Below are 21052 nucleotides of genomic sequence, written 5' to 3'. Positions count from 1 at the left end.
CAAAAACCTCAGTTGTACAGTTTAATATTTACTGATTACCTACTATGTTTGTTTCTTTCCTTTTTAAAAGAGGATTAAGAAAACTGTGACCACTTTTCTTGCACTATAGGGCCAAATCTGGCAGTATATGCTTTCTATTCTGGTAGTTAGAACTTTGATAACTTAATTGGAGTCAAAATTGAGGTCAGCAAACTGTGAAGGGGGTCCCTATTTTGTAAATAAAAACCCAGTGTGCTTTAGTTTGGCTTTTAAAAAAAGTATATATTTAAGGTATATATACATATAAGGTATATATGTAATCTTGATATACATATAAACACTGAAATGACTGTAGTCAAGCAAAGTAACATGCCCATCATCTCATACAGTGATTGTTTCTCTCCCTTTCCTTTCTTTCTTCTTTGTCGTATGAATACCTAAAATCTACTCTCTTGGCAAATTATCAATATATAATAATACAATATTATTAAATATAGTCCTTATGTTGTACATTAGATCTCTAGACTTATTCATCCCTTATAACTTTGCACAGAAAAAAAATACTATACAATCTCACTTTTTGGAATCCAAAAAGCAAAAAATAAAAGTGAAGGAAATACATAGAAAGAGAAAGTAAAATGGTGGGTACCAGGCGTGGTGGGGAATAGAGGATGTAGGTCAAAATTTATTTTAAATACTACATGGTTTTAGGCATATGCACATCTATAAAAACTGATAGCCTGGTCTTGCTGCTTTAATAAATAGGGGATCTGATTCTAAAATCTCTAAAACTCAATAGCATGAAGTGGGCTGAGCCACCTCTAAAGTGGGCTAGTCCATCCTCAGAACATCAGATCAATGGCTTGAAAATGGAACTGAAGCTCAAGCAGGAAGCTCTCAGCAGCAAGACAGGGACAACCAATGCTGAGATAATGAAGGGCATGCTCTCTAAGACTTAGAAGACAGACATATCAATCAGGGTGCGGGTAGGAGAAAAGAAAGATCAATGCAAGGCATCAACTGGCACCTTTATGCATAAGGGCTATGAGAAATAGGCTAGGGTGGCTAATCAAAATTCTTGAATTTAAAAGAAAAGTAAGCACTATTTTTTTAGGAGAGAGGGGTGTATTTAAATCACCACGGCTTATTAAGTAGAAGTAACAGAAGTAAAGAAACAATGCTTTCTGTCCATCATCTTCAAATCTTGCTCTAGAATGGAATCTGTGTCTGTCTTTGGTGTTGAATTAAAAAAATGGTATTTAGCTATTTTGTTGTTTGTCATTTTTAACTATACGTAAATGGAGTGCCTGTCCTTCTTACATATTGTATCTCTTTATTTCTTTATCCTGAATTAACCTCACCAGTAGGTCTATGTCACCCTACACGGTAGTACTATTCTCTGTCTCTCTAGGGATTTAACCCATCCACTTAGAGATACTCTTGCTCTCTTTATTCCAAACAGATAAGACAATTCAAAAAATAAAGCTGATGGATTAGTAAAAGCTGTAGGCTTCCAACTATCCGTGATTTAAATCAGGGTTCCCCCAGCTAAACCTAATGGGGAAACGTGGTTCATCACAGCTTGTTTTTGTAAAGCAAGTTTTATTAGAATACAGCTGTGCCTATTCATTTATGTATTGTCTATAGTAGATTTTGCATTATAACAGCAGACTGGAATAACTGCAACAAAGATCATGCAAATCATATCATATTTATATTAATAAAATATTGAAGTTAATATCTAAATATATTTATATTTATAAGATAGGTTGGTTTCTAAAGCCTATGCTACTTGTTATTTGGCCTTTGGGGGAAAAGGTTTGGTGATCCCTAATCTAAATAAAGATATCAGGGTTTCCCTGTCTACATCCAAATGTTGGTTCTGCCACCTACTAGCTGTGCAACACTGGAGTGTGTTACTTAACCACTCAGACTTCGTTTCCTCATCTCTAAAATGGTAATAATAATAATAGGACCCCTTTCCAGGATGCTATGATGATTCAAAAACAAATAGTGTATCCCAGTCTTACCTGTTATTAATTAATATTTTTCCCCTAAAATATTTTATGCAAGGATAGGTTGTAATACCCTCATCCCTTCCTCTGGGATATACAGTTTTCAGTCACTTGGAGGCATTTGGAATGAAGATTTCACCACTGAACTCTGAGAAAAACACATTTCTCTAATGTGATTAAAATGAAAACAAATCTAGTTTAATTAAACATTGAGGCTGGCAATTGTGCATCAGGCAGAAGCACATTTCTAGTAAATGTTTAATAATGGGATTACAGTGTTCTGCATGCACTGGGATGTAGGAAATAATAGTACATTTGCATGTGAATTTGTATCTGTCAACCATGTGAATTTGAGCTCTGTAGATGATGCAAACTGGAGTGCTCTTGGAAGACATTGGAAAAGTGGAGTGGGCAACCTGGGTATTAGGTTGTGAGGGCAAATGAGGGCAAACATATCTGTGTGGAATCTCAGAGTTGACCCTTGGTGGACAGTGACCACAGCAAATGTGCTCAACCTCCCTGAACCTTGGTTTACTCATCTGTAAATGAGGGAGATTAATACTTCTACCTTGGAACCACTGGGGAGATGACACTAAGTAAAATAAGGTACGATGAATGTGTTTATTTTGACTGTGTTGAAGGTATCACAGGTGTACGCACATGTCTAAACTCATCAAAGTATGCGCAGGATTTTTTTGCCTATCAATCATCCCTCAATAAAACTGTAAAAAAAAAATTTAAGTAAAAGAAAGAATTCCATGGTCATTAATTTCCTCAATGAGAAAGGTATAAGTTGTCATGTCATCTTTCACACTAGGTAGGGGAGCAGAGCTTATTGGCATTGTTCCAGATAATTCAAGGTCACATCCCAAATTGTATTCCATGCTCGCCCCTGTCTGATCTTCAGGCTCCATTAGGCATTTATGTGTACCCGCTACTGAACTTGGATCTCACCTCAATAGTAGCACCTTCTTTCACTTTGTGGAATTGTAGGTTCAAGATAGGGCAGCGTACGGGAGCTTTGGGTTTGCCTTCTAAGACATACAGGCTTCAGTTCCAGGTATTCATGTGCTAGCTTGACCCTAGGAGAAGCTCCAGATTCTCATTTGTGAAATGATAACAGTAATATCTACCCCTTGGGGCTACTGCAAAGACTTGATACAAGAACCCAGTACCCTACCTGGCAATTAATAACTGCTCAATAAAAATGTCTTCCTTGTGTACTTGTATTTCTCTTCAACTACACTTGAGGATCCTTGAGGTCAGGAGCTGTGTTTCATTTTTCACCATATACCCATCACCTAGTATGAATTCACATATAAAGTAGATGTGGAACAAATGTTTGTTGAATAGTGAATGAAGGTGAATGAATAAGTGCATAAAGAAATGGCTCCACTCAGAGCTACCCCGGTGATGAGGATAGGGGAATACTTCTATTACATTAAAGGCAACAGCAGTTAGTAAAAAGGTTTTTACAGTGTTTCTGCTGTTTGAAAGTGCAATATAAATTTTTTGCTAGCCCATGATCAATCGACTTCTATTGTTTGATATACACTTCAGCATTTAAGTTCTGTCGAATTGACATTTGCTACTTATAAACTTAGTCCCTAAGTCTTCTTATGCTGTGCTATATATCTACCATTGGCACTTAGTAAACTATGCCATCAAGGCCAACACAGAGCATCAGGGACTTACTGAAAGGCTGTAAAAGTACCGTGTGGAAAAGAAATGCATCTTATGGAGAAAACTGTAAATATCACTGGGAATCCAATCAAATTCATGTTAACTCCATGAACTGAAGACTCAAAGTGCCGCTTTGTCCTTGACTCATTCCCTCCTTCCTCTTCTGACCCCCTTTCCCCTCTCTTCAGCCTGCTAGGATATTGACAGGGATTTTAGAGGAGTGGAAGGTCTTTATCTCTTTGAGATGAGCTGCAATATGATTACAATCGATTGAGTGATTTACAGTATAGAGCACCTTTCATTACCTTCTCTGCTTTATAGAAGTATAAATGACATACTGTATGTGAATATATATTATTATTATTGGATATTTATGTACCACCTTTCTCAAAGAAGCTCAGTGTTCTTTTTAGACTTTAAATAACTAGAGAGACTCTGCAACCTTGTGCAAAATTTAAATTGAAGAGACTGGAACTTGGAAACTTTTCCCATAAATAAAACTATGCTCTTGTATGGGTGGTAGGACACTTGGTGTTCAGGCAGCTCTGGGGCAGAGGAAAAACGGTACAGGGTAATTGTATTTTATGGCTGGGATAATAATTCTAAGTTTTCGTAATTAGAGACAACTTCTGCAGGCCAGAATTTGTATTAACTACTTAAACTAGAGCTTCCATGTGACAATAGGGAAAACAAAACTTGTAATTCACTAACCAGCTTTGAAATTATGCAATATTTGATGATTGTTTTAATTCAGAAGAATGTATGTTATTACTGATGCCTCACATAGAGGGAGATGTTATTAATATTTTTATTTATGTCACACTATTTCAGATAAGTATAATTTTAAAAATCCCATAAAGTGTGACTACACTGTATTTCTAATCTTGAAAGATATTATTTAATTAAAATAGATGCATTATGGTTGGAAATCAAGAAATTCTTTATCTTACATCCCTGGTTACATTGTACCTAGAAGTGACCCTCAAATTTTTAATTATTCATTTTACTGAGTCCCTAAACTATAATATTTATAACATTTAACATATGGCTAAATAAATATGATGTGCTTTCTAATTTTTAAAATTCCAACTTCTTCTTTAAATCCCAAGATAGTCTACTAAAAATGGGGAAAATGTAAATGTGCATCCTATAAAGTCCTACAGAGGGTTGCAGCAAAATTATTCTTTTGCTCAACAGCCCTGTAGACCAAAAGCATGCCCTGTTCACAAGTGAATTCTAGATAAATAATATCTTTGGCTACTACAATTGTTATTATCTGATGTAAATCCTTATAATTATAAAAAGCTCCTTTGTGTATGTTAATTCCTTTATAAATAACCTTGAGCTATGTATTAACCTAATGTTTTGGGGGCAAGTTTCTATGTGCCCTGTGTCCATGTGTTCCCACCACCTCAAATGTTTTATGTATTTCTATCTGGTCTCTTTGTCTTCTGGGTGGTTATGTTTAATTTTAGCATTAGTCCAAGCTCCAGTTTGCCTTGAAATGCTTATCAGCTTCTTAGAGACATTTATGGGAGAGAGAAAAAGGCTCTAGGTTTGATAGCAGTAATTGTATTTAACTTATAAGATACAAGCCTGTTTATCTGTGGCTGGGAATTCACAGAGAAGAAAGGAAGTTTCCTTGATAAAACAAAAATTAAATTAAAAAAATACTAAGCACCTTCTTGCCACTCTGTCACTCCCCAAGCAAGACTATTAAATGGCAAAACAAACCTTCATTTAAAAGTTCTTTCTTTTTGCATAGATATGGCACTAGAAGGTAAAACAAGATCGCAAAAAGAAAGAGGCTGACAAGGCTTCCAGAGGCCACACCGATGATATAGATAAAGCCAAATATGTATAGATGCCCAAGGAAATGCTGACTTCTAGACTGGGCAGAAATCAGAGATTTAACCTGAGGGGGGAATTCTATAATTTAACTTGAGAGAAAAATTCTAAATTGTCAAGATTTGAGTTAAACCCAGAATTTCTAGGATATGCAACTGTTCTAGGGTGTTTACGAGAATCTAAGGAAGGAGCAGAGTGTGATTAAACATTAAGACTCTTAAGTCAGATGGTTCTGGGTTGAATACCAGCATTTCCCAAACTAAGCTACACTCCCATAGACTGTTCCTAATCTAAAAAAATGGGAATAAGACCAACGCTGTCCTAATGGGTGGTTTCAAGACTAAGTAGGATGCTGCCCATGAAGTGGGGAGTATGTCATAAATGTTCGGCAAATGGCAGCCATCACCACCTGGGTGAGTTTGGCTGAGAGACGGTGAATGGCACCATCTGCCACTTCCTACACCTCTGGGAGAAAGTGTTTATTCAGTGCACATGTCCCTCACTTTGGAACCGTTTCTACTATTGTGGAATTCTCCATGAAGGATGAGAAAGCAAGATGGAAAATCTCTTAGTCCCCTATTCTCACCTTTCATAAGTAAACTTCATTGTAGAAAGTCAAGATAAAAAATGGTCCTAAAATGTATACGGGTGGTAGATAATCCAGACAATACACCTGCAGGTACAATTATTATTCATGCAATGCTTTAAGGTATTCAAAGAACTTTCCACTTTCTAAGACAGAACAATGAACACAATCCCCATTTTATAGGTCATGTAACTGGCTTCTTAGGGTCAAGTTTGTTGATAGATTTGCACCATAGCCATGCTGTCAGAGCATACAAATATAGCTTAAGAAAGGGTAGTTTGCCATGTGTGTTTAGGAAACATACCTCTAGCCAGTACTTTCTTTTTTTGTGAAGTGTCCTATAGTAATGTCAATCTGAGCATTCACTTGGTTTTAATGCGAGAAAATGCATATATATGATCATGGAGATCAAAGCATAGAGAAACTTCTCGACAGCGGGAACCTTCTCAAGGTTGTGGGCAAGCTGGCAAGTGACAGGGCCAGGGGCCCTTGGTTACACCTAGAAAGTCTGACTCCAAAACCCTCATGCTTAATCATCACCCTTTAATGACTCTCCAACAGCTGCTTGGATAGGGTGGAGTTATTATCCCTGTGATTGTATAATATCAAAACTCATTAGATGAGTTCAGAAGGTACATGAAGGCAAATGCCCATCGTTTACATGGTAGAAAACACATAAAAGGAAATAAAAGATGGCATATTGTAGTCCTGCACTGGCTAATACTAGCCTCTAACCTATAGCCTCATAGTGTTGGAGTGAGGACTGAATGAGAAATGTATTTAAAGCCTTCAGTGCCTAGGACATAAGTACATAATAAAACAAAAATTTCAGAATCTCCGTCATACCAGCCACACTGCTCAATAGCAACATATGGTTGGCGGCTACCACATTGAACAGTACCGGTAGTCAGTCTGAAAGAAAGACACATTTTTTAGCTTCTACATATCAGTGAATGTCAAACTTAGCTACACAGAGAATCACCTTAGGAGCTTTTTTTAAAAACAACAAAAAACAAACAAAAAAATGCCTGGGCCAGTGTTTCTCAATTTACAATGTACCCATAGCACTGGGGGATCTGATTTTGCAGGTACGGGGTGGTGCCTGAGAGTCTGCATTTTTAACAAGCTCCCAGGGGAAGCTGATGCTGCTGATCCATGGACCACACCCCAGTTCAGTTAAATTAGATGCCCTGAGACCAGTGCCCGAGCACTGGCAATTTATTAAACTTCCCAGGGGATTCTCAATTTCAGCCAGGTTGCAGACCATTGCTTTACACAAATATGTATATATAAGTGCCTATTGAAAACATTCTTTTAAAACATTTTTGTTAACCGAAGACAAACTGCATAATGTGGAAATAATTCCCTTGGAAATAGAAACTCACAAACATGTGAATCCTAATTCATTTCTGACAAATTGGAAAGGATGACTAGTTAGCAGTGTGAATATTCAAGATACACTAGTTTGAGTGATTAATTGATACATTTTGTGACTGAATGTTGGAGCACCTTCTTTATAAGATGGTTTTAAAATGTTCCTCACAATGTTCAAACACATTCATTAAGTGAGGCTTTCTCTGGTTGCCCTTATATGTCTGTAGTCCTGAAACCTTGTTCAAATATGGCTTTCCTTCTTGATTGTATTTATACTTCTTATTCCCTCTGCAGGACTCTGCTCTCTCTGTTTTTCCCCCTGTTGAACTGAAAGCAACGCTAGTCCTGAACGGATGAATGAGCAGGTAGATGGGGCTTGTTTTAATGCATGCTTCAAATCTGGCAAGGTCTCAAATGTTCGCAGGAAAAGACATAAAGAAAAGGAAAGTAAACCTCCTGGCTAGGAATTAATGAAAACCCAAGGCCTGAGAAATTTCAGCATCATGTCAAGTACATAGACTTGTTTTTAATCCTTTAAAGTCTCAATAATTGAGGAAGAGATGTGGACAAAAAAAAAATCTTTCTTATACCGATGTATACTGTCTAAATTACAAAAACATGATGAACATTTAAACAAAATATGTTGGAAACTTTCTCTAAGTCAGCGGCTCTTATATGGGGGTGATTTTGCTGACCAGAGGGTATTTGGCACTTGTGGAAACATGAGAGTGGCATCCAGGGGGTAAAAGTCATGGATGCTGCTAAACATCCTGCAATGTGCAAAACAGTACCCCGCCCCCTTCCTTACACACCAACAGCAAAGATGTGTCCAGCCCCAAATGTCAATAGGTTGAAAAACCTTACTAACTAGACTACTCCAGGCAGAGATTTCCATTTGAGAATATGTTTTTACAAAAAGAAATACTGTCATTATTAATAAAATCGTGGCTCTGAGAAATAGGAAAGTGAGCAGAAAGTTTGAGGCTGTGCAGTCTGAGGATCAGGATAGAAAAGTGTTGGCTCTGCTCCTTAAGCTGTGTGACACTGGGAAAGTTATTTAGCCTTTCAGAGCCTTGATAACGTAACCTTAAAATGGGTATGGCAGGAGTAATAATACCAAACCCTGTCCTTCACAGGATGGAGTGAGGCTCAAATGTAATAACCGATATGAAGGTATTTTGGTCATCAATAAGTACTATAGCAATGTTTTATAAGTACCATAGCAATGTTTTCTCTTCCAACCCCTATAAAGACAAGTTTCTGTGGAATTTGACAAACTCAAATATAAAGAGAGTTTTCTAATGTAGCATCCTTGAAAGGGAGCTACTTTTACCTCTTTTTCACGTTCTAAGTTGGGTGGTCAAATAGGATTTAAATGTAGGTCATCCGTGTGCATTTTAAAGACTGAAGAAGAGGAATTCTGTGAAGAGCACTTGAACTGAGTTGGTATGCCCTGCTCTCCTCAGCACCCCCTGACATACAAAGATTGAAGCTGTGTATCAGTCTGCATGTCCCAGGAAGCCTAGATAGGACCTGAAAAGCCTTTACTGGACCATGCTCAGGGATCTTACAGCAGTGACAGTATCACCGGCCACCCACTCACAGCAGAGAGAAGATATGGAACAAACCCAGTCAGCTCAGCCTTCCAGGGGGCCTAGAGCTGTGGCTAAAATTAATTCCTCATACTCAAGTCACCTTTCACCCCCCCTCCCTTGTTCCTACCACCGCATTGTATAGGGACAACAATCAGAGACTTTATAAGGAACATTTGTCAGTGCCTGGATGATAGCTCTGGGCTGATTCTTCTTTTATTTCCCTCTCCTGTTTCTTAGCTTTTCTATTTTCAGGTTCAAAGAAAGAAGTTGCTTTTCAGTTCTACCTCCCAGAATTTAGTGATATAAGATTCCGATTGCTATAGAACTATTTTCATTCTGTTTCTTCCCTGATTCACAAAGAAAGAGCCAGTGCTACATGCCCTGTGCCCAGCTGGGTTCTAAATATTTCACGGTGGGATGTTTCAGTAGAGCCCCATAAATGCCCATGAGAAGACTGTGGAGATGACCCATTCATCCCGGTGCACAGCTGACTCATTCAGACCTTGTAGGCAGGAACAATTCCCCGAGAGCATGTTCTCCAAGTGAGATAACTTAACATAAATCTTCTATAGGAGCTACTCTGTATGTCTTTACTGTTTAAACATTAGTAATAAGTGAGTAGTGAGACTAAACCCTTGATGATTTCTAAACCTACTGTTATTGATAAAATAATAAAATAGAATGACTTTAGAAAACAAAAGGACACATTTTTGTAGAAACTGTCAAGACTGCCTTGCCAGGTTGATGGCTTTGTTTGATGGCCCAGACACGGGGAATTTTGATCTTATGATTTAAAATAAACATTGCCAGATTTTTCTCATGATACTTTAAATTATTAATAGTTAAATTGATCCTTTTAATAGCACAGGGAAGCAGAGAGGAGAGAAAATAAGGTATCCAAGGCTCAAAAAGTGAACCGCTCCTAGGAAGTCTTGGCAGAGTGGAACATAAACCTCGATCTAGTATATCACACAACAACTTTTTAATTGAGGCAGCAAGGTAAGGGGATATAGCTCCTTTAAATACTCACTATTCTTTCAGCTGCTTCATGGGAGCACATTGCCATTGTTGTAAGGAGAGCAGCTTGGGGTCACTGGTGCCAATAAAACTTTTAAATGAGGATTTTGAACTCAACACCTCACAATAACCACTTTTGTGTGATCATTGGAAAGTGACCTTTGAGATATGACACTTCTTTAAAGAAAGAAATCTAAGATGACACAAGAAGAAAAATACTCATTTCTAGCTATGCATTTTTCAGAACATCCCCCAATTCTCTGGGGGAGCAATAGTGAAAACTGCCCAATTGGAAACAGAAAAATCTTGTCCTAGGTCTTCCTTCACTTGCTATGTGACCTTAGGAAGGGCATAGCACCTCCTTGGGTCTCTGTTTTTATTTGAAATGGAGAATAAAAAATATCTACCTTGTCTAATTGATAGGGTATTTCATCTTCAAAATGAAGAAATCTGTACTCAAAAATATGTCCTAATTTAAAATGCTAGCCAAATGATTGGTAATCCTCACAGCTAACATTTATTGAGGATTGACTTAATTGTCCCAGCATTATACATGTGGTCAACTCACTTAATCTTCACATTAACCAGGTATTATCATTACCCTGGTTGTCTAGACTAGGAAACAGTCTCAGGGAGAAGAATGAACATCTTCTTAAAGAACAACAAAACAGAGAAAGTACAAAATGAGAATTTGGGAAGAAAGAATCTAATATATTTTGAAAGCATTACAGAAATCATCAGAGGAGAAAAATAAAAACTCTTAGAAATTCTTACACTTATTTTATGGTTCAGTGTTACTGTATTTTGAATTACATGTGGGGAGAGGCACCAAATATTTCAATGCTTAGGACATTTCAAGGTCTTTAGACTCACAGGTGATGAAACCAAGATCCCAACTCTAGCCAGTTGACTCCAAGGCCCATACTTATAAATGCTATACTGTACCCTGTCCTGAAATAATAACACATATCGTTACTAAATAACAGTTTCCAATGATAATAATAGTTTTCAGGAGGGAGCAATGCTATTAAAGAAAGGCTTAATCTGTTTTGAAAACATATAGGAAGCAACCCATAATTTGGAACTAAAGAAAGACACCAAAAGATAGGCGCACAGCAAGAATCTCCGGTTTGGTTACATAGCTGTGGCTTTAAAAATGACCATTAAAGAGCCTGCTCATTGCTGGCAGCAAACTTGTAGATTCTATATTGGCTCAAGGCAAGTGGTTAACATCAATTTAGAAATCTTTGAAATTCCTAACAGAAACACAACAAACCCTTCAGCAACACTAGCAAGGCCAATGATAACACATATGGAGAGAGAGATTGATTTTTTTCTATGAGCCTATGAACAGCTTTTAAGATACTGGACTGCTTTTATTCCTTTCACCCTCTCCCCCATCCATCAGGGATTAAGCAGGAAGCATTTAAAAATTAAGTCTATTAGTGTGTAGTGAATTTGAATGATAAAAATTCCTAGAAGCTGTTAATAGCTTTGGCTTTCTTCAAATACTCAAAGATAACCTCATAAGGGCATTTATGTGCCTTAATCTAAGAAATTCTGAGACCCCTAGCAATGGCTGAGCTGGCTGTTTTATGGAAACCGAGATGGCAAATCAATAGTGGGTGGAGCTTTTTGCCTCAATACCTTGGGGGTCTTGCATGCTGTTTCCAGATGCTCTTACAATTCTTAAACAGATATAGCGGGACTCTAGCAGTTAGGGAACAACCCAACAGCGCAGATACTTCTGATAGGCTTTTAAAGAAAATTAATGCTGAGTTAGGTGTGGAGATACAACAGCCTTCAAGCCATTCAAAGTCTTGGCCTACAAATAGGCAAATTCACTTTGTATCTTTCTCACAAGCATAACCATTATTAGCTAATGGCTCTTAGACATGTGAAAATGTGCTTCAAGCTTCTTTGTTATTGTGCCCACCTCACTGTAAAGGAAGTTAGAGAAAAGTGGTGAGAAAATTGTGAGGAGTTTGGTGTGTAGGATAGAGAGTAGCACATCACTTCATGCCCACATTAGTGAGAAGTGCAATATTCTCACTATTCTCTTGCATCCATCAGATGACAGTGCAATTGTGGAACAATGGCCCTTTGCTGAAGGGTTGTCCCTTCCATTCCTGGCACTTTTACGATCAGCATTCAGGACTTTTCCTGGGAGAAGTGAGAGGCAAGAGGGAAAGCTGAGGGATTATTTGAATGATCTCTTTTAAGGAAGGCAACCTTTTCTCCCGTTGTGCTTGATTCAGCCATCTGGCTCTGGGAATTTGTTGCTGAATGTTTCTTGACTGTAAAATTTAAACAGATGATTAACCCCTTTTCCTGCCACACCAGCATGCTTGCTATTAAAATGACTACTAGGACCAACCTTTGAATATCCAGGCAGGCTTAGGGTAAGTGAGAAAATAAAAACTAGCAAAGTCCACCAAACGAATAAAATTCCACCTTAGTTTTTCTCTCATTGTTACCATGACTTGATCTGTGTCTTCAAGTTCAGTAATTGTCCTTTTAGAGTCTCTCTCTGGCATCTGCACCTTCAACTGCATCCGACTAAATGGCACCACAAAGTCTGGGTCTCAAATGGAGCATCTTATGATTATCGACACTAGCTCATGATAGAGATGATCCTTCCCTTCACTGCTCCTCATCTACAGGCCCTGCAAAATCTACCGTAATTGTCTTTGGTATGAGCCAGTCAGGCTGTATCAGTCAAAGGTTGACAAAAAGTGTCCAGTGCATAGTTGGTAAAGTCTCCAGAAGCTCCCTATACTGGATCAAGTCCTAAAGAGATGACTTATCTTCTCATACAAAAAAATCATGAATGTGTACTTCACTCAGTGTTCTGGAATTTGGTGACAGTCATGAGAAAAATCACCACTGAAAAGTGAGAATGGGAGAGTCAAAAAGAGTAGGACCATTGAGCGAACAACATGTACCTGTAGGATAATGTTCATTCACTGGCCAGTTGTCCACCTGCAGGGTGGCGTTGCCGCCGTTCCTGGTGAAGCGTACCACATGGTATTTGCCGTCATTTACAGGGGTTCTCTCCTCTTTGATGGAGATGTCAACTGTGCCAATGTTGAAGACAACTCCAATTTTCCCCTGTTCCTATAATAAAGAAACACAAAAGGCATAGTTATCACCAACCACGAAGTTCTCTCCCTTTAAACTTGATCCTCCAACCAGCAATAAACCTGTAGGTGCCCAGAGGGAGCTGTCAGCATGAAGATAAGATAATAATAGCATTCTACATTTCTCCATGAGCTTTCATCCTGAGCATAAAAACCAATGGCATAAAAACCACCCAAATTGCTCTCACAGGCTGCACCGCACAGGTTACATCATTCAATTCCCCTCAAGGCAAATCAGGCCTGGAACTACCTAGTAGCTATGCAATGACAATGCAAAGTTTATTTCTGTGAGATGAATTAGGCCTGTTTACTAAGAGAGTACACCAAGACACTGGACCTTAAATCATTTATCAATTCAGATTTACAATTAAAGTGGAAATATGAGCTTCTCAGCATATTTTCATGCGATCAAGGCAAAGCAGAGGTGTACAGAATGGTTAGGAGCCAATGTCAGAGGGGCTGGATATATGTGTGTGTGTATATAAATATACACACACACACACACACGCGTACACACACACACATGCACATAATGGTTCTGCAGTTCCAAACCACATAGAAAAGGTAACCCCAGTAGAGGCCAATGAAACTCACCTAGAATTTTCATGATTAGATGGCTGCCATGCTTCCCAACTTGTAGCCCTACTCCTCAGATTAATCCAAAGAGAGATATATTCAAGACCAGAGCTTATGCAACACAGCAGAAGAGAACCTCTGTGGCCATCAAAGACTTGTCAGAAGGGAAATTGCAATGAATTAGATAAGAGTAACACTATGGCAGTGAAGACGGTGATATGGTGTGGATGTGTCCCCACCCAAATCTCCTGTTCAGTTGTAATCTCCAGTGTTGGAGATGGGGCCTGGTGGGAGGTGATTGGATCATGGGGACAATTTCTCATGAACGTTTTAGTACCATTCCCTTGGTCCTGTTCTCGTGATAGTGAGTGAGTTCTTATGAGATCTGGTTGTTTAAAGTGTGTGGCATCTTCCCTGTGTCTCTCTTGTTCCTGCTCCTGTCATGTGAGACTCTTCCTCCCCTATTTGCCATGATTGGAAGCTTCCTGAGGGCTCCCCAGAAGCAGATGCTGCTATGCTTCCTATACATCCTGCAGAACTGTGAGCCAATTAAAAACTCTTTTCTTTATAAATCACTCATTCTCAGGTATTTCTTTATAGCAATGTGAGGATGGACTAATACAGATAATAATGATGCAAATGGTGATGCTGGTGGTGATATCACCAACCTCCTGGGAAGTGCACTAAAACACAAAGCATACATAATAATGCTATTAAAACTCTGACTCTTCTCTAATAATTGGTTATGACTAAAAGTTGGAACTAGTAGTCACAATGAGACATGAAATAAATGTAACCTTACTATTCAAATATAATCAGCCTCTCTTAAGCTCTTGGAAAGACATAGCATTGCAGGGTGTTGGAGGCATGTGTAAGGACAGAAGGGAGACATCTTGCTCAATTTCTTTAGTTTTCCAAATTACTGGCAATATGTTGGGCATTCAAGGATAATAAAATTTAGTAGTTGTATTAGTCCTTTCCATTCTGTGAGTAAAGACACACCTGAGACTGGGTAATTTATGAACAAAAGAGGTTTAATTGACTCACAGTTCAGCATGGCTGTGGGGGCCTGGAAAGCAAACACATCCTTCTTCACGTGGCAGCAGGAAGGAGAAGTGCCAGGCAAAAGAGGAAAACCCCCTCATAAAACCATCAGATATCATGAGAACTCACTCACTATCATGAGAACAACATGGAGGTAACTGCTCACATGAGCCAATTACCTCCCACTGGCTCCCTCCCACAACACGTTGGGATTATGGGAACTATAATTCAAGATGAGATTTGCGTGGGAACACAGCCAAACCATATCAGTAGTAATTCTGACATTCTACAAGACTGAGTCACAGTACTAGTTCACGATCCTTTGTTATCTTCTATTATTTTTTTATTCAAGAAGAAGTAAAAGGAAGAGAAGGAGGAAAACCAGAAGGAGGAAAAGAAAAAGAAGAATGTGAGAAAAGTCCAGAATCCATATAAATCAAGATATAGAAAAGAGTTTTTCTAAATCTCAGATTTAGTCATTTGTTTTATTCATTCATGTATTCATTAAATACACAAATACAAAATTTATTAAGCACCTACTACACCTAAAGTCAACAAATTAAGAGTTCTGGAGGGAGGGACACTGGTTTCTATATATAGTTTGGTACACTTCACTTCTTTTCCCAAAATGAAGGCTTTCCTCAAGTTTCCATTTATCACTTAGTATGTCAGTTCATCTTGTATCCAATAAAAGAATGGACAAGTCATGCAGAAGTCTTGATCTTAGAAGCGAGGAATATAGAATGATCAACCAAAGCAGGCTGTGAGCATTCAAGGATGCAGAGATACAGGGTGGACCTCAGTATTTCCTTTGTGCCCTGATTACATAATATGCAATATAAAATGATGTCTGCAATCCCCATGTTCTGTTCTCTGGGAAAAGAGTTCCAGGTACCTCCCAAAATTGTGACTAAACACACTCATGATTTCGTAAATCTGTTTGTTGAAACCGCTATCTACATCTCTGCACTAGGAAAAGCACCTAGCTTTAAAATATGCATGCATATATAAATGAACCTGATTATGGGTTCTTTTTGTACTTTTCATGCCCATAGCTAATATTATTGTCCATTTTATTCTTCTTATTTCTCAAGGAATTCAGAAATGGTAATATGACTTTTCTGCTTTCTCTTAAAGAACTGGTATTCATTTCTAAGGGTGTGTGTGTGTCACTGCCCACGACCCTCATGCCTAAATAAGCTAGGCTGTAATAATGTGAGCCATAACCTGCTTAGCAGAATGGAAGTACTAGAGGAGTTAAGAAACCATGACTGCAGACACCATTACTCCTCTGCCCACCCCACAAATGAGGGCTGTTTATTGCACCACTGTTCTTCAATGAGAAACCAGTACATAAATCCTGGATGCATGGAAAGGACAGCTGGTGATTCAATTCACCCCTAAGTCACTAATTAATCATGGATGGAAAACAGTTTTAGGGGAAGCATGGAGACCTTTAAAGCAGCATTCTGTAGCTTTTCAGTGACAGCAGTGGCCAAGTACGGTTCTGGCTCAGTGAGTTCGCTGATCAGCAAGATATATTCTTGGGCAGATTTTCTGCAAGATCCATATTTGATTCAGGAAAAGAAAAGATTTAATCTCTGCCAGAATAAATATTTGGTCCTTATCTTAGGTGCCACACATTTGCCATTGTAATCAGTGTTTCTGGGAGATCTTCTTAATCCTGTTAGCTCACTGCTAAAGTCAGTGGAGATCCTTTCCCAGGTGTTTCATTTTGTTTCCCACAATGGTAAATGTGGCCGTGCTAGATCTCAGATGTGGTCTCTATTTGCAGTAATAAAATTTCATTACTGCAACCTCCTTGTCATTTGTCATGGGACCACGGTGGCATTATAATCCATGGCTAACTGCTTTGTTTCAGTTCATTAGAAGTCACGGAAGCCTTGTGGCGAATACCCATAGAGTTGCCCAGGCTTGAAACTATCATGCACAGCTGCCATGCAAATCAACTCCGCTGGCTCATGTGTCTAGAAAAGAGAAGATGTGAGGGAACAAAAGCATTGGCTTTGGTGTCAGACCTGACTGACCTTGGGCAAATTACTTGATTTTTCTGAAGCCACTTCTTGATAATACACTATAAGGACAGGATATCAGCATTTCGTACTTCATAGGGCTGTTGTAAGGATGATATAATATGATGAACATGATGGTACTTTATAAGTAATAAAACATTACATAAATATATGAGATAAAACAGATCAGGAGAAGGAACCACCCATCATTTGATCAGATATAAAACACTCTGATTTTTGGAGAAACTGTTTCAATAGAATAAATGTGGGTTTTAGCCTAGCATGGTTCAAATAACAGCGATGGCTCTTAAAGCTGTATGACCCTGGTCTGGTTATTTTACTTCTGATTTCTCTTTCATAAAGAGATGTGTGGAGGGAAAGAGGGGCCAGTTGTTACCTCTGAAGCTTGCTGTGAGGGTTATAGGAGAGCACAGACATGTGAAGCACCTGGCATTCACTGTGGATAATTTTGGACCCACAAAATGTCAGTCTTCTTTCTCCCTTCTTTCTCCTCATTAGTGTAACTGAAAGTAGTGTCATGAGCTAAGGGCTAGTTGGCTTGGTGGGCACTGTCATCAAGACATATTGTGAAAATAAATGTAAATTTTAGCAAACAGAATATATATTAAAACAATTTATGCAGGGTTGATTTCCTATCCCAATTTGGTAGTTGCTATCTCTCTACATTCTTTGTAACCAGATATTATAAGCCTCTCTAAGAAATGCAAAGTGTAGCTGCAAAAACAGCATGACTATAAATTTTAATAACTCCACAGCCATCACCACTAAAGTTGCTACCAAGACAATTGCTTCAATCTATATTCTTCCTTGATATTAAAAACAAAAACAAGTGGTAAATCAGAAGACATTACCAAAGAATCCTCAAGTGCATTCAGGAAAAAAAAAAAACTGAACAGCACAGAAACCAGCTGTCTTTAAATAGCCAGTAAGTCACTCTTCATCAATAATGACTGTTTATAAGCCCACCTGGCTCCCCAAATTAGTCCAGCTTCAGCTGCCCTATCCTCAATCAGTCACACTGCAGTTATTGGTGCTGACCTAAGAGATGCTACCGACACCAGGGTCAGACTCCAGGAGCAGAAATGCTCAGGGGCAAGAAGAATTCTCAGGAATAAAGATGTCACTGAAGGCTATCTCTTCGTTCATTCCAGACTGCCCCTGGGGAAGACGGAATGCATCATCCGCTATTTTAGAAAATTGCAGCTGAGAGAAACAGAACTGGGATTTTCAAATGTATGCCAGGGATATGGGCAATGGAAGCAGGTCTCAGTGTCTTAACTGCTAGGCTTCCCACAGAATTTGTTAGTTCAGTGCTAGGCAAGAACACAAGGAAGGCAATATGTAAATAATGCCTCTTGTGGGCCAGGCACAGCAAGGTCTTCCATACCCATTTCAAAGTCTGGTTCCTAGTAAAGAAAATAATGAGCGGCACTGTTTACCACACTTTCCTAGTTCTCCTCCATTATAGGGTTGTAGTAAGAGAGGACTTTTGGGTCTCGTTGTGATGGGTTGGGCCAAGAGAACAGTGTTAACTGATAAATTGAGTATCATTCCTGAGCCATGCATTTAGTTGCTGGTGTGAGACCCACGAGAGTTCTCTCATTTGTTGTCAACCACTGCACCCAGCAAACTCCTGGTAGCGGCTTCTTTGTCATTCCGGGTCATTGAGTGAGGATGGCAATAAGCCAACTTGCTACGGACATGCAGATGGCTGAGAAACAAAGCTTGGTTGCTTTATAGCACCAAGTGTTTGAGGCTTTTGTCACTGCAACATAAACCAGGCTACCTAAATGGACAGAATAGGTGCTCAGTAAATATTTTTATAATAGAAGTATATTCAAATTCTTACAATTAATTACAAGAGAATTCACACAATAAGAGACTTATGGAAAAATAGAATCCAGGTCTGACTCTAAAATCCATGCATTTTCGACAATCACAGCTTTTACATGTTATAATTGAGTTATTTCTATAACAGAAATACATGTGTTACATATTACATATTTTATGTAGGCCTAACTTATCTGTCCACTTAGCCTAATTGTGAGTATTTTAAATGTAAGTATCCTAACATGAGCTCAGTAAATGTTTGTTAAATTAATGGATATGGAAATGAATAAATGATGAATTAGAATGTGTGGTTGTGATTTTAAAAAAATTAGAAGAATCTTTTTTGTACCATAAGAGACCAAATATGATTTCAGTATTATAGGATAAAATAAATTATTGCTACCATATTCAAATTTCGTGCAATAAATCTTAGGCAAAACATCTCACTATGCTTTATAAATGCATCTGTAAAATACAAAAAGATGAGTTACAGCTTACCTGATTGATCAATTTTGACTTTGACTAACAGAGGCTTTTACTGCAGTTCTTTAGAATAAAACATTGAACTCAGTAGAACATAATTTGCGCTCTTTTTGTGGCTATTAAGTGTCTTTCAGTGAAGATCATTAGTCTCTACTCTTTCAACATTATGGTCTTCTTGTTCTACACTCTGGACAGTTGTTGGTTTATAAGCACAGAGTAAGCACTTCATTATTAAGGTATTTCAAGAGAGGTAAGAGACCAGGTCTCTCCGTTGAAAAATCTAAATCAGAGAAGATGCCTTTCAGAAATCACCCAAACTGACAAGACCACGGCTGTAGAGCTTGAAGATCTTTCAAAGTCCATGATCACCTCATGACAATGACCCAGTCCCCTCCCCTTGAGAAGCTGAAGTGTGGCTGTGGCAGGAAAAGCAGGGGAGAGGAAAATGTCTACTTTGTGTTCTAGAAGAATTTGAGATTTAGAATCAAAAGAATTGGGACTGATTGAGGCTCCACATTATTTTTTCCATGTGATCTTGAGCAGGTCCCTCAACTATCCATGGCTCAAGCTTTGTCTAGAAAAACGATAACGAAGACAAGAGCAACAGTAATACTTGTGTTAAATAGTACTTATTAAGAGAAATAAATAAAATCTTGGCAAATTCTGAAGGTATCTACAAACAATGATGTAAAAATATGTTAATGATGGGTTTGGAGATGGTGATAATAGTGATGCTAGCTGAGAAATAGTACTAATATGGATGACAGGTGAGTCAGAGGCATTTGCACACTCCCTATAGGATACTGCTCTATTTACAACGACTGTCTCCCAGTCAAGGTCATCGACTCTGGGATCTGTATACATTGTCCCTAGAAAATTCATATTAAATGGCTTGAAAACTATTTCTCCTTTTCTAAATCTTTATAGGCCTCAGCGAACTTTGCACCCAACCAGGAAAGTTACATCCACCTCTCCCCTGGCTGCAGTTGTGCTTCACCTGGTGTTTTACTGATGTCTGGTTGCACGAGGTCAATCAATTAAAGTGGATTAGATCCACAGTCTGAAATGCTAACAGAGGGCGCAGAGAGATAAGACTGATAAATAGCTCGAGACAGCTCCATCTCTGACTCCAAGCAAAAAAAAAAAAAAAAGAGAGAGAGAGAGTAGGGATGACAGCTTAGGACATCAGGAACCATGACCTGAAAAGGCGAGAAGCAAGGAAGGACAAGACAGCCGATGCAAGTAAATAAGATGCAAGTCAAAGCTACCACGGCTCTAAGTCACCAGTCACAACTGGCATCCTGAGTCATCACGTCCTTCAAATCTACTCGGAACATCCACTTCTCATTCACAGACCCCAATGTCATGCTGGTTTATTTGGTAGTTAAGTTTGACTGCAAGGCAAACTTCAAGTTCATTTCCATAGGTGCCCCAGCCCTGTGCCAAGACCTGGAGCAGTCTCCTGGCAGGACTCAGGTGACAGCTGGCAGGGCAGTGCTGACTAAAATCCAGTACAGACTGAACGTCTCCCATAAACGTCCGGTTTCCCCGCTAAATCTCAACCACAGCTGTGAGGAACCACCCAGCGGTCTTCATAAAGAAACCTTAAGCCCTGTGCTCACACTAACAACAAACATTACAGTCCTTGAAATGAGGAAACACATTTTAACTCATCTGGAATTTTTCCAGAACATCTTACACCTTACTTATGTGCTTACAAAGTGAGGTTCTAAGACCCCCAGCAGCAGTATCACCAGCGGACTCATTAGACATGTAAATTGTTGGGTCTAGTGCTAGTGCAAGACCCTCTGAATCAGAAACTCTAGTG

The 21052-nt window shown here is 38.7% G+C and overlaps 1 protein-coding gene across 56 annotated transcripts in view; it reads right to left on the bottom strand.

Annotated features, from left to right (window-relative positions):
* NRXN3 (neurexin 3) overlaps positions 1 to 21052 on the bottom strand; it is a 1697919-nt gene that overhangs the window by 191300 nt on the left and 1485567 nt on the right. For all 56 annotated transcript variants that reach the window (NR_158973.1, NR_158975.1, NR_158974.1 and 53 more), the window contains one exon: positions 13043 to 13214. Coding sequence is in view for 49 of the 56 variants with exons in the window: in XM_011537363.2 (XP_011535665.1) it covers positions 13043 to 13214 (172 nt within the window). In the remaining 7 variants the exon portion in view is untranslated. The remainder of the gene's footprint in view (positions 1 to 13042; positions 13215 to 21052) is intronic.

This window comes from Homo sapiens, chromosome 14 (assembly GCF_000001405.40).
Source record: "Homo sapiens chromosome 14, GRCh38.p14 Primary Assembly".
Taxonomy (NCBI): domain Eukaryota; kingdom Metazoa; phylum Chordata; class Mammalia; order Primates; family Hominidae; genus Homo; species Homo sapiens.
The sequence above is the reverse complement of the archived record's forward strand: the minus strand, read 5'-3'. Positions and strand labels throughout refer to the sequence as shown.